At 41.4% G+C, this 26,695-nt stretch overlaps 1 protein-coding gene and 1 pseudogene across 51 annotated transcripts in view; both read right to left on the reverse strand.

Annotated features, from left to right (window-relative positions):
- Positions 1–26,695, reverse strand: part of USP28 (ubiquitin specific peptidase 28) — a 77,698-nt gene that overhangs the window by 21,635 nt on the left and 29,368 nt on the right. For 18 of the 51 annotated variants that reach the window (NM_001400799.1, NM_001301029.2, NM_001346261.2 and 15 more), the window contains 9 exons: positions 22,154–22,259; positions 21,089–21,248; positions 14,740–14,826; positions 13,911–14,048; positions 12,411–12,484; positions 11,358–11,434; positions 9,688–9,836; positions 7,724–7,851; positions 4,096–4,191 (listed from right to left, as the gene is read on the reverse strand). In NM_001400799.1, the coding sequence (NP_001387728.1) occupies positions 4,096–4,191; positions 7,724–7,851; positions 9,688–9,836; positions 11,358–11,434; positions 12,411–12,484; positions 13,911–14,048; positions 14,740–14,826; positions 21,089–21,247 (908 nt within the window). In that variant the 5' untranslated portion in view covers position 21,248; positions 22,154–22,259. Of the gene's footprint in view, positions 1–782; positions 850–3,003; positions 3,118–4,095; positions 4,192–7,723; positions 7,852–9,334; positions 9,412–9,687; positions 9,837–11,357; positions 11,438–12,410; positions 12,485–13,910; positions 14,049–14,739; positions 14,827–15,697; positions 15,819–21,088; positions 21,249–22,153; positions 22,260–26,695 lie in introns of all 51 variants that reach the window. The other 33 variants (NM_001400810.1, NM_001346260.2, NM_001400789.1 and 30 more) reach the window with 11 other exon arrangements.
- Positions 905–2,393, reverse strand: ISG20L2P2 (ISG20L2 pseudogene 2; annotated as a pseudogene).

Below are 26,695 nucleotides of genomic sequence, written 5' to 3' on the forward strand. Positions count from 1 at the left end.
CCATCTCAGTTCTACTACCTAATGGTATCCATTAACAGTTTCTTTTATATTTTCCCAGGACTGTGTCACACATATACAAGCAGATATGTGTAACCTTAAAAAATAAAATCTGAAATTTATAATCATTTTATTTTTTCCATTATAAAAATGTATCAAGGGAATAATTAGAATTTTTAGGGGCTTGGTTTACCAAGATAAAGACTAAAAACAATTATTTATTTATTTATGAGACAGAGTTTTGCTCTTGTTGCCCAGGCTGGGGTGCAATGGCGTGATCTTGGCTCACTGCAACCTCCACCTCCCCGGTTCAAGTGATTCTCCTGCCTCAGCCTCCCGAGTAGCTAGGACTACAGGCATGCGCCACCACGCTCGGCTAATTCTGTATTTTTAGTAGAGACGGGGTTTCACCATGTTGGTCAGGCGGGTCTGGAACTCCTGACCTCAAGTGATCCACCGCGCCCGGCCAGACTAAAAACCATTAACCCATTTATGCGTAGTGTTCCATTATTGGAATGCTAAGCTTGTGGGAGTTAAAATTTAATATCCTACTGCTCAAGGTCATTGCCAAGGTCTTATTTTTCACCAAAAAAATTTGCAACCTCCAGCATAAATGAGTTAGAAACACTTTACAAATTCTTTTTTAACCTACCAACTGGGACCTACATGAAATAAATCCTCTATAGCCTTAGGAAAGAGACTGCTTTCCTAAATCAGAAAAGTTGACTTCCAAGCTACTGTCTTACCTCCACTGCCTTAGAACCCAAAGGAGAACTAAACCTCACCTGCAATGGCACCTCTGGCAGTCAAGTAGGAAGAATGAGCAATGTCCTGAAACAGGCTAGATGCAGACTGTGAGCCAAAAGCAGAGGTTGTGTTAGGAATGGGACCATATAATTTATTATCAAACCAGGATACTTCTGAGAGTGAAAGAAGGTGCTGTTAATTACTCAAGAAGAAGAGGCACAAAATGAGCCATATAGCCACTCTAGTGATCAGGCACTTTGGGAAACTACATTTCTCAGTATGCCCTGTCCCTTGAAATTCAAAACGCTTCACTGGCACAGCGCACCCTGGGACCTAGGGATAGCACCATGAAAGAGGTAAAAGACACAGGGCTGGTTCTGACATGGAGGCGCCCTCCTTCCATGGGACACTTAACCAGACACAGGACATAACACCAGAGATGGAATTTCAATGGATATTAAATCTAGAGTAGAACCTTTCTCTTGCCAACAATTTTAGCTTCCAAAGATGTGGAACTAGTTGAGATGTCCATTGGTCCACTGCCCTATTTCTCCTGGTGCTGCTTCTGCCTCCCCACGTCACCAACATCCCCATTGTCACCAGTCTTTCGGGGAATTCTGGGCAAGGTGTTCTTCCCACTTGAGTTCAACCAATTTGTATAGCTCCATGGTAGCCTGGGTGTCTTCCACAGAGGAATGCCTATTTTCCCAACCCAGATGTCCCAATTCAGCAGATTCTTGATGAGATGCTTCAAAGACATGGTGACGTTCACTGGGCAATCAGCCTTCCAGTTGGGGAGGAGAAGGGGGATATGGGAGTTGTCACTGGTGAGGGACTTGGGATGAAAGTACTGGGGCTTTGAAGTCATTGTGGATGGCATGTCCACCACCATCTTCCCTGTATCTTCAATATATGCCATGAGCAATCTTGAAGAGCATGGCATTCACCATGTGCTGCTTCTGGACACCACTCCACCTGGTCTGGCAGTCCACAGTGTGGCCAGGGGGAAGGATGTACTCGTTATGAAGCACATCTCCGCTGTAGCTGACAGTGCTACATGGAACCAAGAAAGTAACATGCCCCTTGGGTCCTGTGTCCAGCATCTCACAGCCAATTGCCACTATTCTTCCTTGGCAACTTCTGGGATGCTCCAAAGCATTTATTCTGAGTGAGCTTGGGTAGAGTTCTGTGGGGCGCTGAGCTGAGAGGATTTGTTCTGGAGGCCTTTCTTCTGGGAGTGGGTCGGGTGGCTGTTAATCTTTAGAAGGGCACCTCCAGCAAATCTACTTAGCTGCAACAGAATCAGCATTCTTTGAAGGGGCAGGGGACAGCCATGACACCGCAGCTTTCCTGTCCAGGGACTCTTCTGACACACTGCTGGAGGCAGCTGCCTTCTTTTCTGGGAAGGGAGGGGTCTTCCAAGTGCCATGCACCCTAGGAGTTTCCTCTTTCTTTGGAGGTTCTGAGTGCAACTTGGGTGTCTTGCTAGGGGGCTGGTTCTTTTTATTCAGAAAGCCTCTCTGTTCCAAAAGTTGCCATTTCTTAACAAAATTTTGTGCTTGGCAGTTCTTTCTAATGCCTTTTTGGGAGGAGGTTCCACCAAATCCCGATTGAGGAGTCAGGTAGACATGGGGACAGTGGGTGGTGGAGGGTGTGAGGGTGGGGTGGGGGAGTGGGGGAATACGTTCCCTGGCCCCTCTAGCTTCATGAAGGTACAACTCGAAGGTCTCATTTTATTTTAAAACAAAAGTATTATCATGCTAAGGAAAATGCTCCTATACTCTATTTTAAAATAAAGAATACCCTGTTGTCTCCTGGTAAATTGGTATTTTTGAACTATAAAACATCAGGTATTCTCATTTCTTTTATGTTGTTGTGAAAAGATGGGGTCTCTTATGTTGTTGTGAAGAGATGGGGGCCAGGAACAGCGGCTCACGCCTATAATCCCAGGACTTTGGGAGGCTGAGGCAGGTGGATCACGAGGTCAGGAGTTCAAGACCAGCCTGGCCAACATGGTGAAACCTTGTCTCTACCAAAAATACAAAATTAGCCGGGCATGGTGGCACATGCCTGTAATCCCAGCTACTCTGGAGGCTGAGGCAGAAGAATCGCTTGAACCCAGGAGGCGGAGGTTGCAGCGAGCTGAGATCGTGCCACTGCACTCCAGCCTGGAAAACAAAGCGACACTCCATCTTCAAAAAAAACAGAGAGAGAGAGAGAGAGAGAGAGAGAGAGAGAGAGAGAGAGATGGGGTCTCACTAAGTTGCACAGGCTGGTCTCAAACTCCTGAGCACAGGCAATCCTCTTGCCTCAGCCTCCCATATAGCTGGGATTATAGGCACATGATACTGCATCCAGTTGGTATGGTTGGTTCTATAAAAATAATTTAAAATTTCCAGCCTTACAAAGTATCACTAAAACTTAAAGGTTTAGTAAAATACTAACAGACTTAAAAGTCCTGAAAATCACTTCCAGGACAGTATTTGAGGAACTGGTTTTCAGCTTAAGTCTCTATAAAGACAAATGACTAGTCACAATACATCTTGTATAAGCTCTTCTGGAGTGAGAGTGGAAGCTGCAGTGGTAGCGGTGGGGGTACAGTGCAGGGTCCATCTTAGGCCTGGTATGGAAAGTGTTGCCCTTCAGGGAAATTAATGGCCTAATAAGGGAGTAGGTGGAGGTGTGGTGGTCTTAGAAAGAAAACTGTTAAGTGGATAAAGGGAGGAGAAGCTATTGACTGTGTATGGGATCTCTTTCTTAAGCGCAAAATCAACGGGATCTATCTAGACGAGAAAGAAATTAAACTGACTCCTAAGGAAATTACAGAAAACCATTCTACAGAAATAGTGTAAAACCAACAATCAAAAAAGTGAAAATTCCTCCAAAAGAGAAAGAACTTTGTATGCATCAGAAATATTAGCCCTTTTAATCAGTTAGCACTGCTCTAGGTAGAAAAGCACTGTTTTTTATCTTTCTTAGACACTTCAGAAACTGCTTTTCCAAAAGTGGACGGGACCATCGTGACACTTGCTTCTCTCATGTTTGTGAAAAAGATGGCAAGGGGAGTAGAAAAAAAGTCTATAAAATCAGAACTCAGTTTCTCCTTGGTACACTGCAGTAACTAACTGTGTGACTCTGAGTCACTTCAGTAGTCTGGGACTATTATTTACCCCCATGAATAATACTAGCTGATCCTGAAGACTGCTTCACACTTAGACAAAAAATTTTCTTAGCTGTTTTATAAAATATTCTAGTTAATATTTAAACGTTGAGTTAATTTTTAAAGAAAAACAAATTATCTGTTTTTAATATTCTTTTACATTTCTAAGCATGAAGGTGTCCAAAACTCACCTTTCCAATTTTTGCTGCAGAATTTTTATTTCCTCCTTCAACTTTCGAATACACTCTCTCTTATTTCGAATAAGCTCCTTGCTCCTGTACATGTACCTAAGTAAATAATCCCACAAACACAATTTATATTATAAAACATTAATGACATAAAGTCTCAGTAAACTAAAGATTCAAGGAAACTTCTTCAATCAGATATAGGGCATCTATAAAAAACATACGGCTGACAGCATACTCAAGGTTAAAACTGATGCATTCCCCCTAAAATCAGGAACAAGGATACCCACTCTTGCTACTTCTATTAAATACTTAACTGAAGATATAACCAATGCAATAAAGTAAGAAAAACAAATGAAAGGCATGCAGATAGTAAAGAATGAAGTAAAGCTGCCTTTTAGTTCCACATGATGTAAGCATGCAGAAAATCTTAAGGAACCTAAAAAAATACATCAGAACTAATAAGTGAGTTTAGTAAAGTCAAAGGATACAAAATCAATTTAAAAAAAGAAAAAAAATCAACTGCAATTCTATACACTTGTAAAGAACAAATGAAAAATGAAATTAAAAGCAGGAATTAGAGATAAATTTAATCAAACATGTGCAAGACCTGTACACTAAAAATTACAAAACACTGTTGAGAGATATTAATAAGGACTTAAATCTCTATTAACTTATTTAATAAATGGAGCTATACACTGTTCATGGATTGAAGGACTCAATATTATTATTATTTTTGAGATGGAGTCTCACTCGTCACCCAGGCTGGAGTGCAACGGCGCAATCTCGGCTCACTGTGACCTCCGCCTCCCGGGTTCAAGCAATCCTCCTGCCTCAGCCTCCCAGGTAGCTGGAATTACAGGTGCCCATCACCAAGTCTGATTAATTTTTGTATTTTTTAGTAGAGATGGGGTTTCACCAGGTTGGTCAGGCTGGTCTCAAACTCCCTACCTCAGGTGATCCACCCACCTCAGCCTCCCAAAGTGCTGGGATTACAGGTGTGAGCCACCATGTCTGGCCGAAAAACTCAATATTATTATTAAGATGTTGGACCAGGGGCGGTGGCTCACGCCTGTAATCCCAACACTTTGGGAGGCCGAGGCAGGCGGATTACCTGAGGACGGGAGTTCAAGACCAGCCTGACCAACGTGGGAGAAACCCCATCTCTACTAAAAATACAAAATTAGCTGGGCGTTGTGGCACATGCCTGTAATCCCAGATACTTGGGAGGCTGAGGCAGGAGAATCATTTGAACCCGGGAGGCAGAGGTTGCGGTGAGCCAAGATCGCACCATTGCACTCCAGCCTGGGCAACAAGAGCGAAACTCCGTCTTAAAAAAAAAAAAAAAAAAAGATGTCAATTTTCCCCAAACTGATCTGTAAGTTCAAAACACAACCAATCAAAATCCCAATAGCCACTGGGTAGAAACTGACAAGCTGATAAAAATTTACATAGAAATGCAAAGGACCAGCACACCTAAAACAATTTTGAAAAAGAACAAAGTTGAAGGATTCATACTATCTAATGTCAAGATTTACAATAAAGCCATAGTAATCAAAACAATATGGCACTGACATAAGACCAGACAACAGACAGAACAGACTCCAGATATAGACCCCCATGTATATGTTCAATTAATTTTTGACACAGTGCCAAGATAATTCAATGGGGGAAAAGGAAATATAAATCAAAGGAAAAATAAGATATTCCCACACACCCACTAGATGGCTAAAATTAGAAACACTTATAATTCCAAGCACTGGCAAGGATGTAGAGCAAATGGAGCCCTCACACACTGCTAGAGGGAATGCAAAATTGTATAGTCACTTTAGAAAATAGTTTGGAAATTTCTTATAATGTTAAATATACACTTTTCATAGAACCAAGCAATCCTACTCCTACATATTTTACCCAAGAAAACTAAAAATTATGCCAAGGATTATATGTGAATGTTCATGGCAGCTTCATTCATAATAGCCTAAAACTAGATACGTCACCAAATGGTGAATGGCAAAAAATCACTGCAGTACATATTACAATAGAATATTACTCAGCAATACAAAGGAGCAAATTACTTATATATGAACAACATGGGTGAATCCCAAAAACATTATCCTAAAGAAAGGACACAACCAGAACAGGGTACCTACTAAATATTAATGTTACTAATGCCACATTCTAGAAATGGTAACATTATAGGGTCCAAAAACATTAAGTGGTTGCCAGGACCTGGAGATGGAGAGAAAGGGAATGATCACAATGGGACAAGGAAAACCTTTTGGGTGCTGGAATGCCCTACATATTGACTGTGATGGTAGTTTATTTGACTGTACATTTGTCAGAACTCACTGGTTATATGCCTAAAAATAAACCATGGGATAAGAATGACTACATAAAAAATAAGTAAAAGAAGCCATGGCTCACGCCTATAATCCCAGCACTTTGGGAGGCAGAGACGGGCAGATCACAAGGTCAGGGGATTGAGACCATCCTGGCCAACATGGTGAAACCCCGTCTCTACTAAAAATACTAAAATTAGCTGGGTGTGGTGGTGCGTGCCTGTAATCCCAGCTATTTGGGAGGCTGACACAGGAGAATCGCTTGAACCCGGGAAGCAGAGGTTGCAGTGAGCCGAGATCGTGCCACTGCATTCCAGCCTGGGCAACAGAGCAAGACTCCTTCTCAAAAAAAAAAAAAAAGAAAGAAAGAAAAGAAAAGAAAATCAAGCCACCACACCCATTTTTTTTTTTTTTTTTTTTTTTTTTTTTGAGACAGGGTCTCACTCTGTTACCCAGGCTGGAGTGCAGTGACATGAACAGGGCTCACTGGCCCCACCAAGTACCTGGGACTACAGGTGCACACCACTACACCCAGCTAATTTTTTTTTTTTAAGAGACAGGGTTTTGCCATGTTGCCCAGGCTAGTCTTAAACTCCTGCGCTCAAGATATCTGCCCTCCTCGTCCTCCCAAAGTGCTAGGATTACAGATGTGAGCCACCATGCCTGGTCTCAACCAGACTTTTATAAAATTAAAATTCTAGGCCGGGCGCGGTGGCTCACACCTGTAATACCAGCACTTTGGGAGGCCAAGGCAGGCGGATCACCTGAGGTCGGGAGTTCGCGACCAGCCTGACCAACATGGAGAAACCCCGTCTCTACTAAAAATATAAAATTAGCCGGGTGTGGTGGTGCATGCCTGTAATTCCAGCTACTTGGGAGGCTGAGGCAGGAGAATCACTTGAACCCGGGAAGCAGATGTTTCGGTGAGCCGAGATTGCGCCATTGCACTCCAGCCTGGGCAACAAGAGCAAAACTCTGTCTCAAAAAAAAAAAAAAACAAAAATTCTATAATGTAAGTCTGCTAGGAGCACCCCCACCCCCAGAATTCAGGTAGTTCCTACCCCCAAAAGGAGGAGGGCTTTCACCTAAAGTCTTGCTTCCGGAGATCAGAAGCAACATGAGCACAACCCTGGGAGGTCTCAGAAAAAGGCAAAGACCCTCAACCTAGACTCATAGAATCCAAATTTGCATATTATCATGTCTCCCAGGTGATTCCTACGCACACTATACTTAGTACGTGCTCATCTCTACTGCTGTAATACCTCAGGAAAAAAAAAAATCAGCCAAGAACTCACCTGTCCATATAAATAATCTGAGGAAATTCCAGCTTATTGTGAATTTTCTCTGGCTGCCCAAGGGACTGATTAAACTCAAATCTTGAGAGTTCAAAGGTCAACACTGGAGGTAGCTTTGTAAACCAACGCTAGTGTCAAGAGTAGAAATGTGAGAGAAAGAAAAATTAATTTTAGGAAATTACAATAACCAGATTTAAAATATCTCTCATTAAAGTTTCTTCCTTTGGTATAGAACTTATACTCAAGGCAAACTCATACTAGAACTTTTTTTTATCCCAAACACTAAAGGGAATCAACACTTAGAATCTCATTCTCTTACAGAATATGGTTCAACATTCCTCAAGACTCCAAATTTACTAGCCAGTCAACAGAATTTTACTCAACCATCATCCTCAGAATAAACCACCCTTGAATATGTGAACCGCACTAAGCATCTACATAACTCATTCGTTACATCATCAGTATTCAGAAGAGGTTTAAAAACTTAACAGCTAGCCTAACTACAGAATATGAAATTATGATCGAAGCAGCATGTAGCTAAAGAGACAACTCCATGTGCCAGCTAAAAAGACTCATATGTGTACATATATTACATGCTGTTTTAGTCTATTAACCATAATTTGAATCTCCTTTATATATACAAAGGAAATTTGAAATAGCCTCATGGTTTTACAATTTCTCAATTTCTAAGAAAAATCTCTGAATTTCAAAAACTTACAGAGGTCTCATAAAGAAGCCAGTCAAATCAACCTACGATGTTACTTGAGTTTCAAAGAAGGAAGGCACTGACATAAAAAAGACTCAACAGTCAGGGATCACAGGTGAGGAAAAGCTAAATCAGATTTGGCTTTTCTATTCAATTCACCTGTATGTCTGAGGTTCCTGTCAACAGCTTTAAAATATTTCCTTTACCACAAGTGCAAGCAACATTCCCTTCAGATACCCTGTCAGCATAATGAGGTGAATTCACACAGCCTGTGAGACCACCTCAGGGTGAAATCTAAATGAGCATGACAATTTTGTTGTTTTGTTTAATTTTTATAGAATTCCCATCCTGGAATACAGGTCTCCACAGGCCTAAGTATAGCTGGTGAAGACTCCCTCTTTTGTAAGAGGATGCACCAGGTTTGCACAGATGGTACAGATGACGTAATTCCTCCATTAGGAATCAGTTTTTCCTTGAAAATCCAGGGAGGCAGCAGCTCTCTGAGTTCCAACACTGCTCTACAGTGAATGTATTTTCATATGGCTCATGTTAGGCTCCCTATTTTAATTCAGGAAAGCTCCACTTTCTCCTATAGTAATTACTGAGTTGGAATCATATATAAGCCACAGTTTTGTCTCAAAATGTATGATCAATGGAGAACAATCCCAACTGTGTAAAGAATTATGTTACAAATGCTATTCACTAATTCTTAACCTAACTGGAATACTGAGATGTTAACTACCCATGCTCTCCCTTTAACTTCCCCCGTCTTTCCAACCCAGAAAAAAAATAGATACATAAATAAACAAATGAAAATTAAATTTTAAAAATGTTAAAAGCAAAGGCAGAATTTACAATTGAGAACAGTAAATACTATAATAGGGAAAATATTCTAAATGGCATACCATAGGAGTTAATCACTGTACTTTTACCCTCCGAAAATATGGAGGCAGTGGGTTCTCCCTACTCAGGTACAGGTAGGCTTCAACAGAAAGAGAGAAACTTGATCATACTTAAAACATCAGAAGCAGCATACAACCTTTACACGAGTAACTCAAATTCATAGTTTTAGTAAAAATTATTTATCAAAGTACTGATACTCACTGACTCACATCAACTGATGAGAGACTTAAGACAAATTCAAGTTCTGCTAAGTGTAAAGTTACTTAATATGTGATGGGAAACTAGTCTGCCCAAAAGCTCACTCCTACTTAACTGGCTTTGTCACTGGCACAGCAAATAAAGATCTCCAACGTACCTCTTGTCCATACTTCACCGAGTGATCGGAGGGAAGAAGCTCAACATCACCCTCCACCATGGCCCCTTCCAAACACTCGTCTAAGTTGCGATAACCGTTTACCTGAAGAGGATACTGGCCGAAGGTCTCATTGTTACAAAAGGGTTTTCCTAGGCAAAGAGAGAGACTTTTTAAAAAAGACATCACTATGACTATCTAAAGCCTATCTTCTGGCTCCACAGAGACAACATTTTAAATTCAGCAACTTCCTGATAGCTGGTTAGAAATGCACTTACGCCTTTATAGCAACCTCTAGTGAGCCAGTCAATCTAGACACTGAACAATGAAAACCAGTAACACTGGAAAAAGACCAGGGGCTTCGTGGCTTATGCCTGTAATCCCACCACTTTGGGAGGCCAAGGTGGGAGGATCACTTGAGGCCAGGAGTTTGACCAGCCTGGAAAACACAGTGACACCCCTGTCTCTACAAAAAATAAAAATTATCCGGGTGCAGTAACACACGCCTGAAGTCCTGGCTACTCAGGAGGATAAGGTAGGAGGATTTCTTGAGCCCAGAAGTCCAAGGTTACAGTAAGCTATGATGTTGCCACTGCGCTACAACCTGGGCAACAGAGCAAGGACTTGTCTCAAAAAAAAAAAAAAAAAAAAAATGCAAAGACAACCAGACATTATGTACTTCCTAATCAAGAGTTTTCTCACCATCTGTGAATAGTCTTGCCAAAAAAAGCCTTAGCTAAGTCTAGTCAAATCTCTAGATCCAACTACCAATTTATAAGAGGAGGAATAGAGAAGAACATGGGGATATGTTAAAATATGTTAAATATGTATCAGAGGACATGCAAACAGCAAAATTTCCAACTGTGGGAAATGCTACAGAACAAACAACCCAGTTTCTCCAAAAAATACATTTCAAGGAAAAAACGATGGAGGGGGAGCCTACAAATATTCAGTCATAAATGAATCACACACTGGGGTCCTGACTAAAACAAACTCTAAAAATAAATTTTCTATTTTTAAAAAATTATGAAAACAAATTAGAAATCTCAACACTGACTAGATATTTGATAGTTTAAAATGCTATTTTTCAGAGTCATATTGGTATTGGGTTATGTTTTAAAAAGAGTATCAGATTGGTAAGAGTGGGGTGAGATGGGGAATGACTGGCTGTGGGCTAAGGCTGGGTTCATGGAGGTTGTAAAATTGCTCTATTTGAATGTATTCTAAACTCTTCATAATTAAAAATAAATTATGTGCCTTGCATGTAGCTTAGATAGATAAGCCTCCAGAGTGAAAAGCCTCTAGTCTAGAAAAACATTTTTGGCAGTCTCACTCAATAAAACCTTTTGAGATTAAGTATTATATTAGAATAAGCAACACAGAGAAAACCGAGTAAAATCACTATCTGACATTAATGTCAGATTTGGGCTGTGCAAGTATTAATATGACAAATCTGAGATAAAGATTGTGCACATTTTACAGATGAAGAGACTGAGGATCCAGAAGCTCCCATAGTTTATCCACAGTTAAACAGATACCAAGAGGCAGAACCAATATTCAGAGCTGAGTACTGCTGACTCTCAAGCCTATTCACTATACTGCCTCCTCAAAGGGACACAGTAATAAAGATATGATCAAAGGTCTAGAATTAAAATTCAGAGCAGAGAATTTACCTTCACGAACCCCTTCAGTCAGGAAAGTACCATAGAACAGCTGCACCATTGGATTTTCAGATTTGTTCCTGGGACTGCTGCTTTTAGGAAAAGGAGACAATTCTGGATTGTTTGGATTAAGATATGTGCTACATAAAATCCAAGCATCATTCAAAAGCAAAAATAGTGCATTTTCATCAACCCCCAAAGAGCCAGGTATGATCTAAATAAGTAACAATTAGTTCAGTTCAAATATTTATTGAACACCTTCTTTCGAGCATTGTGCTAAACTCTGAAGACACAAAGACAAGAAGGCCCAATCCCTGGACTTAAGGAGCTTAAAGCCTAATAGTGGAGTCACACATGCAGACAAATATGCTTTCAGTATATACATCTATATCCAATGATAGATGTATACAAGGTATAGAAGCAGTATAAAGGTAAGAATGAACTCTGTTGCATAGTTTTACAAATAAATACAAAAAATTTTTCTCCATGGTACAACAGAAATAAAAAGTTTCTCCTTACAAGTCCTTCTTAAATTGCTACGTTGAGTTGCCGTTTCCAAAACTATTTTATAGTTACAATGCTTCTACCTAGAATTGAAACCATTTAAAACACAGATTTCTCAGAGGGATATCCGTATCGTGCCCTAAGTTTCACTTCTCTCAGTGACTGAAATGACTATAACCTATCCTCTACACATTCTTAGTAGACCTCAAAAGGGATCTTAAATTTAAGTACCCATATTATACCATCATGTTCACAACAGAGGTTGATTTGTCCTTTTTACAAATACATTTTACAGCACATGCTGAGTTTATTAACAAAGTTAACAGTTACAGTCCTTTAGTTAGAAAAAAAAAAAAGCTGCAGGATAAGATGACTGGTACATCCTCAGAGGGGAAAGCTGAAGGCGACAGGGATACATGATGAGGACTACCTCAGTGGTTATCCCAGGAGGTATGGTTAAAAACCAGCAATTTCTAGTTAAGGAGAGTAACTTTCCAGCATATAATTCTCACTGGCCCACTGTGAGTCGGAAGGATGTACAAACAAACCCTCAACACTCACTTAACATTAACAGCTAGCTGGAATGCGTCCTCTAGCCAATCCAGGAGCTTGTGTGTGAATTCACTCACATCTTGCTATAAGAGAGGCACAAATTGCATAAAAGTTAGATGCAATACTAAGAGAAATTAAAATTTATCCTTATCCCACCAATGAATTAAGATTATACTACTATAAAAGCATTTCTTTTTTTCTTTTCTTTTTTTGTTTTGAGACAGGGTCTCACTCTGTCGCCCAGACTGGAGTGCAGTGGCGCGATCTCAGCTCAATGCAGCCTCCACCTCCCAGATTCAAGCGATTCTCCTGCCTCAGCCTCCCAAGTAGCTGGGATTACAGGCACATGCCACCATGCCTGGCTAATTTTTGTATTTTTAGCTGAGACGGGGTTTCACCATGTTGGCCAAGCTGGTCTTGAACTCCTGACCTCAAATGATCCACCTGCCTCGGCGTCGCAAGTGCTGGGATTACAGGCATCAGCTATTGCGCACAGCCTGAAAGCGTTTATTTTTGGGGGCTGAATATCATGAAAACATAGGAACACTGAAACCCAGCTACTATACATAAAAAAGAAGGTGCATTAAGCAACCTGAAAGTTGTAGCTAGAAGGAAGCTGGAACTCTACTACTTCCAGCCACATCTATTTATGACAAAGAAAGAAAAATAAACAAAATCTTCCAAGTAGGACTTTTTAAGAAAAAGGCCCAAGGAACTCTAGAACAATACAGAGATCTGAATAAAGAAAGAAAACTTCAATGTTTTGAGAATTTTGTAGAACTGTAGGACCTTCAAATAGAGAAAGAAAAAAAATCATATGAGGAAGAAGATGATCTAATTAGTGACAGCTTTGTTTTTGTTTTTAAATTATTTTTTCAGAGACGGGGTCTCACTCTGTCACCCAGGCTGGAGTACAGTAGTGCAATCACAGCTTATTGCAGCCTCAAACTCCTGGGTTCCAGGGATCTTCCTGCCTCAACCTCCCAAGTAGCTGGGACTACAGGTGCGTACCACCATGCCCGGCTATTTTTTAATAGGAGGTAGGGAAGGGAAAGTCTAGAAGAGAGAAGTTGCTGAGAAAAGCTCCGAAAAGCTCCTGAACTCAGGTTTAGATAGTTTTAAAGATACTATTTCCATCTGGACCATTCCAAGACAAAGGTGCAGACAAAGGACTACTTTTCTTGGTATCCCTTTTGTTACAGCTCATTGAGGTATTTTCCAATCTCCTCCTTTCTACATCAATAGCCCCGGTATAATTCTACATTCTTTCTACTACTATTTCTTCTTCTCTTTAGAACTGCCAGCCCCCGTGCAACACACGCACACTCTCTCACACACACATGCTTTCTCTCTCACCACCTGTTCTGTAGGCAAAACAAAAGTCAGAAACGAGCATCCATAGTCCTGCTTAGTCATGTTCACAGCTTGTTACGCAGTTGAAATGAAGCAGTACCGCATTAACACTGACAAGGCATGACTTCAAACTCAAGAACAAGGCTTCTTTTGTACCTGCTGTTCCTCAGATGATCGGAATGCTCCCTTTAATAGATCCAGGGCTGCAGACGGGTCTACAAATTTTCTATTTGATCCCATCATTAGAGCAAACAAATACTGAAGCTCTTGCATAAACATGATATTTCTCTTTTCCTGTAGAAAACACAGTACATGTACTCTTACAATATCTCATTTAGAAAATCAGAACGTGTAAAGAAAAAAAAGTTGTCAATAATCATGCCCTCATTTATATTTACCTAGATCTAGGTCAAAGTCACAGGGCTATGTGTGTTACAGGGACTCTGGTAAGGACTGTACTCTAAACTGAAGAATAACTATGTAGAAGCCAGAGACAGCACTGTTGGAAAAACAGAAATGTCCACTTTCTGAAGCTGCTGCCCTCCTTCTCATGAGGAAAATGCATTGCGCCAAGGTGAAATCCTGGGAAGGGTTAAATTGCTAGGAGGAGGCTACGACCTTTGGCAAAAACAGAATAAAATAGACTAAGGCGGCTCAGGTCTCTGGCATCAGGGCATCTCTCCAGCATCACATTGCCTAAGCAGCTCAGGAAGAGAAAGGATACAACAAACACAACAGGTATTCAGGGTCTCCCCACCCACATATTCTTGGAGCTGTTTTTCTCATTTTACTCCTACTTAATTTTACATTTTTGCATACCCTTATATGTTATCCCAAAAAAGGAAAATGAGCCATTTAGAAATGAAAACAAATAATTAGCACAAGCCAAAGAGTATCACGGATATCAGCTTTAGGCAAAAATCTAGAAGCCTTAGGGATGAAAGGGACTAAACAACAGTGAAGAAATTCCTTGACACCAACTTACTGTATGACTTCGACAATTTTCAAGTACATTTTGTGGCAGACTATAACTGAGAACAAGTCTTCGAAATTCAGGCAATTGAAAGAGAGACTGAAATAAAGAAAGAAAGGGATTCATAGCCTTTCCTGAAAATAACTGCAGCAACATATGTATTTTTCACTTCAAATATTTTATTTCATATTTAAAAGTATGCAAAACTATCAACCTGGCAATTTGACTTATGTTATTTCTAAGGAAATAATGGTTGTGCACAAAAAATTAGCTCAAAGAATATTAATACTTTTAGGTAAAAAATAGAAACAACCTAATGTCTAACAAAAGGAGTAGCTTTTGTTTTGTTTTGGTTTGGTTTTGTAGAGACAGGGTCTCCCTATGTTGCCCAGGATGGTCTCAAACTCCTGAGCTCAAGGGATCTGCCCGCTTTGGCCTCCCAAAGTGTTGGGATTACAAGCATAAGCCACCAAGCCCAGCCAAAAGAAGTAGTTTATATAAACTATACTACATTTATACAATAGACTATTAAGCAGTCATTGAAATAATATTGTAAAAAGTGTTTATAAAATGACCTACTATATAAAGTGAAAATGAAAAAAACAAGAGCTATGTGTATCAACATGGATAAACCTCAAAAACACATTTTGAGTGAAAAAAAGTTACAGAAAAAAAGTATTATACTGCTTATATTAAGTTTAACAACATGTAAAACAATACTACGTATTGTTCAGGGATACATCCATGTGTGGTTATGACTGTGGGAAAGGGAGGATGTCACAACAGGAACTCAATAGAACAGAAATTTGTAACATTAATTTTTTAAGCTAGGTGGTTAGTATAGCAGTGTTTACTATTCTCCACTCCTTGTCATAGTATTGTATTTTTTAAAAGTTTAACAGCAGATGGTAGAACTGGAGAGAGGGATTCTTTTTATTATTTGCAAATCACATTTTTCTACTATGAATACCTTTCATAAGTTAATTTTCTTTAAAAATATCTCCTGTATGAATATACAACTCCTCATCCCAACATGCTCCTCAAATGAAAACCCTCTCAGGCCTGCACGGTGGAACTCCTGAAGAAGCATCCTAGGTAGATAATAGGCAAAACTTTGGAATTAGAACTAAATAAAACAGCTTCTTGGTATTCTAAAAGCCCCAGGTATATTTCCTAATGTCAACCAAAGAATCCAAGTGTCGGTACTGACTAGAGCCCACGTGCACCTCTCTGGCTTCCCTCACTCTAACACAAGCCCTGGCGGGATTCAGCCAACAGGGTGAGTGTTCAACCGGACTGAAGTGTAAACCCAGGTCATGCTGCACCAAAGTTCTCTCTGGGACCAGGGCTTGGCTGGTGAGCTGTATCCTCTGCCACTCTCTTCTCTTCCACCTCACCTGTCTACCTAACACACTTGCATTCCTACTCTGCTGGCTACCCTGTGACATTCTTGAGTTTCTATTCTGCTGTGAGAAAAATGGCTTTACATTCTCAGCCATTTAACTCCACCTCTTCACCATCAGGAAAATCGGGCTTTGCCATTATTCTTAAAAACCACATTAGGCTGGAAGTGGTGGCTTACGCCTGTAATCCCAGCACTTTGGGAGGCTGAGGCGGGCAGATCACCTGAGGTCAGGAGTTCAAGACCAGCCTGACCAACATGGAGAAACCCCATCTCTACTAAAAATACAAAATTAGCCGGGCATGGTGGCATGCCTATAGTCCCAGCTGCTCGGGAGGCTGAGGCAGGAGAATCGCTTGAACCCTGGAGGCAGAGGTTGCCGTGAGCCGAGATCGCACCATTGCATACCAGCCAGGGCAACAAGAACGAAACTGTCTCAAAACAAAAAAAAAGAAAAACAACAAAAAAGAACACATTAAGTGTGAGCTAATACTATTCACATCTCCCAATTTATTCCTTACCCAACCGCTGCTGCTTCTGTGTTTTCTGCGTCACTTCATTATTACATCCTCCTCCCCCAGTCACCAAAGTTTAGAACTGCAGAAAAATCCTTGAATCTTTCTCCTCGCCATTCACATCTAGTAAGTAACAAGTCCCTTGGCCTCTGACTCTAGGTGCTCTTTATAACCTAACTGCTTTCTCCCCATCAGCACCCCATCAGCTGCTCTAATCCAACTCCCATCGCCGCTCACTTGCACATGGTCTCTCTGCTTCCAGAACTTCCCTCCACCCACTCACACTTGCTCACAACTGCCACGCAGCTCCTTCTAAGTACCTCGCTAATATGGCAAAAATGAAGCTCCCGATTCACTGAAGACTGTCATCTAGTAACAGCTTTCCTCACTCTCCCAAGTCCTGACATCCTCCTAGGTGACTAGAGTCAACATCCAATCCCTGAGGACATCCTGTCAGTGCTGCCTTGAGAATATATCAAGAACTCCAACTCTTTTCTATTTCCAGGGCTACCAGTCCAGTCCGAGTCACCATCACTCTTCATGGATGACAGCCATGGGTCTCTCCCTGTGCATCCTTGCCCCTCCATCCTCATCTCGCCACAGGAGCCAGAGGGAGACTCTTAATACTTGAGCCAGAGTTGATCAGTCTGCCACTGGGGACTTTCAGTAACTCCCTGTCCACTCAGACCCTCCTCTCCAGTGACCCTCCCTTTGCTCTTAGCATCCAGCCACTTGGACTCCAGCACGTTCCCTGAACACACCAAGCCCATTCCCACCATGAAGCCACTGCTCTATGTGTTCCTCTACCTGGAATGTTTTTTTATCCCAATAGCTGCCTGGTTCACTCCCTTTTCAGTCTCATCCCCTTCCCCACCACAGTGAGGCTCATCCAACACCACAGTTAATACTGCAACCTGTTCCCACCTCTCCTGCAGTTCCAATCTCCCTAACCTTGCTCTTTTTTCTACTGGACCAATCACAGTCTAATGTATTATACACATTTTATTCAGCTAGTTCATCATTCTGTTAGTTTTTAGTTTACTGTTCATTTTCTATCTCACCTCATGAGAATTTACATTCCATGTGGGCACAGTTGTCTTTGTTTTGTTCACTCCTACATCAAGGGCCTAGAACACTGCTAGACATAGAGCAGGTGTTCAATTGTTTGCTGAGGGAACTCGCATGCATCCAGTATGGAGATCTCTCGGCTTCTTGGGCATCCCATCTCTAGTGACACATTCCTCCACTCCATCTCTATCTACATCCACATCCCAGGCTGCACCCAAAAATACACCAACACATGAAAGGTGTCAGTTCGCAGATTACACGTTCAGAAAAGCTCACTCTGGGACCATTACATGTCTTCTTTGTGTCCAATTACCTGCAGGATATCTGTTCTTTGACTTCAGCAGGGGCCCAAGCAAATTGATCTCTTTCCTGGCTCCCTAACAATCAGTTCCTTCCTATCTTCATTTCTTTCTCCATCTAGCTTTGATGCTACGGTCTTAACTACCCTTCATTAAATTCACAGAGTGCCCTTTTGTCCTTTGATCACATACCCAGCAAATGCTCCAAATTAAATGAGTTGAGTTTTCCATGTAAGAGGTTCAAAGTGCTGTCAAGAGGATGTCCTGATAGAAACTGAACATTTTCGTATCACCACACATTTAAAGTCAACAATTTCAAGCAGATCTTCAAATTTTTGGAAATCCTACTACTGTACTCTGGTGCCAACTGGTTCTCCCACCATCTCCAACAACTATTTCAAACTTTCACTCCCTTTAAAATCTGACTCTGTCACTTCTCCACTGTCTCAAAAAATAGCTGCTAATTTCACAGAGGAAAAAAAAAAAGACTAGACACTACTTCAACTCTAATTTGCAGTTATCATTTCTTCCTCTTCCCTTCCCATTACTCTCCTGCCCTTTTCCTTGTTAAGGCCGACTCCTCAGATATACTTTCTATGCTGTCTGCTCATGCTGTCCCAGAAGCCTTACTCAGCTATCTTCTCCATCTGCTGGCTCTTGTCCACCCTCCACAGGAGTGAAGGCTAATGGTGGGGGGGCGGTGGTTGTGAATCCAAGGAGCATTATCTTTCTCTCTCTCTATCCTTTCAGATAGGAAAGAACTGACATGTTCCACATTATCTTCCTATGTTCTATTCTCAACACAGATGCCAGTGATCCTTTTAAACTGGAAGTATGATCATATCACTTCTCTGCTCCAAACCTTCCAATACATTCCTATTTCATCTAGAATTCCCAAATCTTCATCATGACCCCAAGCTCTTCCACTCCACCTCCACCACCTTTCCTATCCCACTGCTATCAGTTCTGGATCACTCCGTCTTAGCTATTTGCTATTTGTCAGACACATTAAGCAAGCTCCTGAACCTCAGTCTGCTTATTTGCTGTTCCTTGTCTGAAATGTTCCCTATGTAATTAAATAGCACATTCCCTGGCCACCTTCAGACCTCTGCTCAAATTCCCGCCTCATCAGAAAGGCCATCCCTGACCCTCTGCCCTCTCCAGCTGAACCCTGTCCAGTCCCCCAGACTCATTCATTCATCTTTACACTTGTCACCTCCTCATGTTTTGTTTACTGTCTGTGCCACTCTTTCCAAAGTAAACCATGAGAGTACGGGCTTTGTTTTAGTCACTGCTGTTTCCCCAGAGCCTAAGACAGTGCCAGGCACATAGAAGCTGGATGTAGCAGATGTGTAGAAAGGGAGAATTCCATTTTTTGGCTTGAGCAGCTGGGTAGGTGCCATGTACCATGATGGAGAAGACTGCTGTGGTGAGCACCAAGGGTTGCATTGGGGCTATGTAAGTTTAAGATGCCTGATCGATACTTCTGGAGAGCCACTACCCTCTAGTGAATTCATTCACTCCCTTGGTTTTATTGCCATCTATATGGTACTAATTTCCAAAACTGTATCTAGAGCCCAGCACTTTTTCTGAAGTACAGATTCATATAATTATCTGCCTACATGGTATCTCCTTAAACTCAACTCATTTAAGTTGGAGGATTTGCTGGGTATGTGATCAAAGGACAAAAGGGCACTCTGTGAATTCAATGAAGGGTAGTTAAGACCATAGCATACACAGGCACAGGCACCTCAGACTCGGCATATCTAAAACTGAACTGATTGTGGGGCATGGTGGCTCAGGCCTGTAATCCCAGCACTTTGGAAGGCCAAAGCAGGTGGATCACTTGAGGTCAGGAGTTCAAGACCAGCATGGCCAACATGATGAAACCTCATCTCTACTAAAAATACAAAAATTAGCCAGGTGTGGTGGCACACGCCTGTCATCCCAGCTACTTGGGAGGCTGAGGCAAGAGGATCCCTTGAACCTGGGAGGCAGAAGTTGCATTGAGCCTAGATTGCGCCATCTTGTCTCAAATGAATAACTAAATAAATAATAAAAATAAATTTTAAAAATGAAGACATTGCGCCAGGTGCAGCGGCTCACACCTGAAATCCCAGCACTTTGGGAGGCTGAGGCGGGCGGAACACCTGAGGTCAGGAGTTCGAGACCAACCTGGCCAACATGGCGAAACCCTGTCTCTACTAAAAAATTAGCCGGGTGGCCAGGCGCGGTGGCTCACGCCTCTAATCCCAGTACTTTGGGAGGCCGAGGCAGGCAGATCACATGGTCAGGAGTTGGAGACCAGCCTGACCAACATGATGAAACCCCATCTCGACTAAAAATACAAAATTAGCCAGGCCTGGTGGTACATGCCTGTAGTCTCAGCTACTGGAGAGGCAGGAGAATTGCTTAAACCTGGGAGGCGGAGGTTGCAGTGAGCTGAGATCGCACCACTGTTGCCTGGGCAACAGAGCGAGACACTGTGTCAGAAAGAAAAAAACAAAAAACAAAAAAACCTGAACTGAAACCCACTGTTAACACACACCCAAATTATTCCTCCTCCAGGGTCAAATGGTACTATAATCCACCTGGTTACTCGAACTAGAAACCTCATAGTCTTACTCTTACTCAACTACTGCAGGCATATCCTGGATCCAACTGCCCACCAATCCTGTAGATTTGATCTCCTCAGCGCCTCAAGAATGCATTCACTTCTCTCCTTCCATGACTTCTGCCACTTCTCTACTCCAGGCCACCACTGTCGCCTACCTGGATAGCTATGATAGCCTTCAACAACTGATTCCTCCTTATTCACTCTCACTGCTATAATATAGTATCCACTAAATGCTTATCCAAAACACCTATTCAATATATTTACAACCACAGCAGATTTCTTTTTAGTACTGCCCAACTTAGACATCAAAGCATCTAAATCCATACACAATAATGCCAGAAAAACTCCCCTAATTTTAAATATCTATTTTAATCCTTTGAAAGCTATGTTTCTACATTTCAGTTTAATAAATTACAAAGTTATTTCCAAAAGACACAGTTATCTCTTAAAAATATCATACCTGAATAACAGCACTAAACCAACATGTATTGCCAACATTTTTCAGCCCAACTGGCCAACCATCAACTCTCCTCCAGTCATTGGGATTGGGGTTTTCTCCCCAGACTTCACAGCGTTTTCTCTTTGAGCGTTTAGTTTCTGCAGAGGTTGCTTCATGCATCCTATATTGTGCAGCGTGCCACACAGCAAAAAAGAAAATAGTTAAAGAATAATATAGCATATGGAGGATGCTATAACTTTTCGTGGATAATTCAAAACACCAGAAAAAGTATTTACTGGATAATCCCTAGCTATATAAGGAACTGTAAGACTGTAATGCAACTGAAAAGCAAGATTTATACATAGAAATGTTAATCCCTCCATAACAGACATTATTACTAATAAGGTCCATGATTGAACTAAGTTGAAATTCAAGACTATTTAAGGCTACCATATTAGAAATTTTAGATTTCAACACAGTGTACTATCTAAGACCTCACCATCGAATAGGGCAGGAGAGACACTGTGCTAAAGATAAGAGCCTCCAAATTGCCCAGGACATAAAACACAGCCCTGTGTTCCCTGAAATAAACATCTCAGCAGTGTGAGGGAATAAACATGTCCAGAAACTGATAGGCCACCACTGGAACTGGATGTTGGTGAACAGTACCAAACAACCACCCAATTAGTACCAGTTCAAAAAAATAGATTCCTTGATCACTTATGAGACAGGGTAGTTGAATAACTTTCACTTAAAACTATGCAGCAGCATAACCCTCAAAGTTTATAAAAGAGAATATACATTTATCAGATACCTGGACTAGGTTGTTTTTAATTCACCCTAGCAATTGTAAACTGAAACACCTTGCACACTTCTACTCAAAGACACACGATGCAATAAGACCCCTTTCAGTTTCGCTTTTTCAAAAGTGAACCAAAGAGTAAGCTAATGCAAATTCAAAATTTCTCCTAAAAGAAATGTCATTCAGGTGCTTAACAGAATTATTCCTGAGTGGCATTCACAGAGCTGTTGCCTTTGAGATACACACAAATGTGGGGGGCAAGAATTATAAGTTAAATCAATAACCTGTTAAGATCTCTTCCATCAGCTTGAATTTTGGGAGACTCCAGTAGACTCAAAGCAATGGCAGCCTGAAGATCATCTTTGTTATCATGAGTAAGGTCTATAACTTCTGTAAGATAAACAGAAATTTAATTAGTCTATATATAGGAAACACTGCCCTTCTGTAATATAAGAAAAAGGTAAAGACATACTCCCTAGCTTTCACTACAACAATGGCTCAACTGTGTAACAATTTTATTACCCTACTGCATAGTCAAATGAGTAACTTCGGCTACACTGTAACCTTAGACTAGCCCACAGTACAGAAATAACAAGCTGCAAAAATCAAATGAACCAAATACCCTCTTCTGTATTCTCACTCCACAAAGTCAAAAGTAGATCCCATACATGTGGGTTAAATAGTCTCTATTATCACAAAACATCAGCCAAATATCAAACACCCAGGGAACAGATATTTTAAATCTCATACAAAATATTCCAGAGAATAGGGATATACTCCTCAACTAGTTAAGAACGGTAAGAGAAAGAAAAAGTGAAACTCACACGTGATACAAAATACTCACAGATACAAAATACCTAAACAAAATATTAGCAAATAGAACCCAATAATATAAAAAAAAAAAATTACATATTAAGACCAAGTTGGCTGGGCGCAGTGGCTTATGCCTGTAATCCCAGCACTTTGGGAGGCCGAGGCGGGCGGATCACGAGGTCAAGAGATCGAGACCATCCTGGCTAACACGGTGAAACCCCGTCTCTACTAAAAATACAAAAAATTTGCCGGGCGTGGTGGCGGGCGCCTGTAGTCCCAGCTACTCAGGAGGTTGAGGTGGGAGAATGGCGTAAACCCGGGAGGTGGAGCTTGCAGGGAGCCAAGACCACGCCACTGCACTCCAGCCTAGGCAACAGAGTGAGACTCCGTCTCAGAAAAAAAAAAAAAGACCAAGTTGAGTTTACTGCAGGAAAAAAAAATGAGTTAATACTAGATGGAGCAGTAAAATTCACTATCTTAACAGTTAAAAGAAAAAAATGATCATCTTAACAGATACAGAAAATGTATTTGATAACATTCAACTTTCTTTCAGGATAAAAACTCAAAGCCAACTAGGAAGAGAAAAAAATATCCTTAGGCTGAGAAAAAGTATCCATGAAAAGCCCATAGAAAACTTTTATACTTAACGGAGAAACGTTAAGTATATTTGCTTTAAAATCAAGACTAAGACAAACACATCTATTATCACTGCTTTTATTCACCATGGTTCTGGAAGTTCTAGGCAGGCAATAAGAACTTTTGGGCATGGTGGCTCACGCCTTTAATCCCAGCACTTTGGGAGGTCAAGATGGGAGGATCAGTTGAGGTCAGGAGTTTGAGACCAACCTGGCCAACATGGTGGAACCTCGTCTCTACTAAAAATACAAAAAATTAGCTGGGCATGGTTGCACGTGCCTGTAATTCCAGCTACTTGGGAGGCTGAGGCAGGAGAATCACTTGAACCCAGGAGGCGGAGGTTGCAATGAGCTGAGATTGTGTCACTATACTACAGCCTGGGCGACAGAGTGAGACTCCATCTCACTCTGGAAATATAGACTGGAAAATAAGAAGCAAAGCTGTCATAATTCATGGATAATAATCACCTACAAGGGAAACCCAAAATAATCCACAGCTACTCTGGCACACTGCCTGTGTGGTAGCCCTGTTCCACAGGAGCAGTTAAAAAAAAATAAAAAGAGGCTGGAAGCAGTGGCTCATGCCTATAATCCCAGCACTTTGGGATGCCAAGGCAGGCAGATCACCTGAGATTGGGAGTTCGAGATCAGCCTGACCAACAAGGATAAACCCCCTCTCTACTTAAAATACAAAATTAGCCAGGCGCGGTGGTGTATGCCTGTAATCCCAGCTACTCAGGAGGCTGAGGCAGGAGGACGGCTTGAACCCAGGAGGCGGAGGCTATGGTGACCCAACATCATGCCATTGCACTCCAGCCTGGGCAACAAGAGCGAAACTCTATCTCAAAAAAAAAAAAAAAAAAACTAAAAAAAAATTTTTTTAATAAAATAAAACACAAATATTACAAAACTGTAGTAATCAAGACTGTGTGCTGCTGGCATAAGGAGACATATACATCAATGGAATAGAATTTATAGTCCAGAAATAAACTCTTACATTCCCGGTCAATTGATTTTTGACCTAAGTACTAGACAACTCAAGAAGGAAAGAATATCTTTTCAACAAATGGTGCTGTGACAACTGAACACCACATGCAAAAGAATAAAGCTGAACCCCTACCTAGCCCCACATACAAAAATTAAGTCAAAATGGATCAAGTCCTCAAGATGAGAGCTAAAATATAAAAGTAGAGGATGACACAGGTGTAAATCTTCATGACCTTAGATTAGGCAACGGAATCTTAGATGACATCCAGAGCATAAGGAACCAAAGAAAAAATAGATTAAAAAATCCTTTGGGCTTCAAAGGACACCATCAAGAAGTGAAGAGACAGCCGGGCATGGTGGCTCACATCTATAATCCCAGCACTTTGGGAGGCCCAGACGGGTGGATCACGAGGTCAGGAGTTCGAGACCAGCCTGATAAAAATAGTAAAACCCCATCTCTAATAAAAATACAAAAAAATTAGCCGGGCGTGGTGGCAGGTGCCTGTAATCTCCGCTACTCGGGAGGCTGGGGCAGGAGGCTTGAACCCGGGAGCCGGGAGGCAGAGGTTGCAGTGAGCCGAGATCGTACCACTGCACTCCAGCCTGGGCAACAGTGTGAGACTCCGTCTTAAAAAAAGAAAAAAAAAAGAAGAGACAACTCATAGAAAGGGAGAAAATATTTGCAAAACATGCATCTGATAAGAGATCTACACACAGAACATACAAAGAACTCCTGTGACTGAATGAAACACACAAATAGTGATTTCAAAAATGGGCAGAAAATCTGAATTGACATTTCTCCAAAGAATACACAAGATAAATGACCAATAAGCATAAGATGCTCAACATCACTAATCATCAGAAAAATGCAAATCAAAACCACAATGAGATATAATTTCACACCCATAGGGACAGCTATCAAAAAATAATATTAATAATAAAACTGGCAAGGAAGTGGAGAAACTGGAAACTTTGTGCACTGTTGGTGGGATTTTAAGATGGTGCAACTGGCCAGGTGCGGTGGCTCACGCCTGTAATCCCAGCACTTTGAGAGACCAAGGTGGGCAGATGGCTTGAGCTAAGGAGTTCAAGACCAGCCTGGGCAATGTGGCGAAACCTTGCCTCTAAAAAAAATTCAAAAGAAATAAAAATAAAAAATATCTGGGCATGGTGGTGTGAGCCCATAGTCCCAGGTACTTGGGAGGCTGAGGTGGGAGGATCACTTGAGCCTGGGAGGTCAAGGCTGCAGTGAGCCCTGTTTGCACAACTGCACTCCAACCTGGGTAACAGTGAGACCCTTCTCAAAAAAAAAAAAAAAACAACAAAATAAATAAATAAAATACGGCCAGGCATGGTGGCTCATGCCTTTAATTCCAGCACTCAGGGAGGCCAAGGCAGGCGGATCACTTGAGGTCATGAGTTCGAGACCAGCCTGGGCAACATGGTGAAACACCGTCTCTACTAAAAATACAAAACTTAGCTAGGCGTGGTGGGACATGCCTGTCCCAGCTACACAGGGGGCTGAGGCACGAGAATCACTTGTACCCGGGAGGTGGAGGCTCCACTGAGCTGAGATCGCGCCACTGCACTCCAACCTGGGCGAAAGGTAAAGACCCTGTCTCAAAAAAAAAAATTAATAAATAAATAAAATAAAATAAATGATGCAACTGCTACAGAAAACAGTATGGAAGCTATTCAAAAAATTAAAAATAGAACAACCGTATGAACCAGTAATCCTACTTCTGGGTATCCAAAAGAATCTAAAGCAGGGTCTTTTTTTGAGAGAGTCTCACTCTGTCACCAGGGCTAGAGGGCAGTAGGTACAATCTCAGCTCACTGTAGCCTCAACCTCCAGGGCTCAAGGGATCTACTTGCTTCAGCCTCCCAGGTAGCTGGGACTACAGGCATACACCATCACACCTGGCTAATTTTTCTATCTTTTGTAGAGACAGGGATTCACCATATTGCCCTGGCTGGTCTTGAATTCCTAGGCTCAAGCTATCCACCTGCCTCAGCCTCCCAAAGTGCTGGGATCACAGATATGAGCTACAGTGCCCGGACTAAAACAGGGTCTTGTAGAGATATCTGTACATCCAAGTTCACAGCAACACTATTCACAAGAGCCAAGAGGTGGAAACAACCCAAATGTCCATTAATGAATGGATAAACAAAACATGGCATATACATACAATGGAGTATTACTCAACCTTAAAAAGCAAAGAAATTTGAGGCATACTGTAACATGAAGTCTGAAGACATTGGTAAGTGAAATAAGCCCACTGCAAAAGGACAAACAGTGTATTTCTACTTATACGAGGTTCTTAGAAATTCAGAGATAAAGAGTAGAATGGAGGACAGAAAAAATGGGGGTTACTATTCAACGCATACTAA

The sequence above is a fragment of the Homo sapiens genome, chromosome 11 (assembly GCF_000001405.40).
Source record: "Homo sapiens chromosome 11, GRCh38.p14 Primary Assembly".
In the NCBI taxonomy this organism is placed as follows: Eukaryota; Metazoa; Chordata; class Mammalia; order Primates; family Hominidae; genus Homo; species Homo sapiens.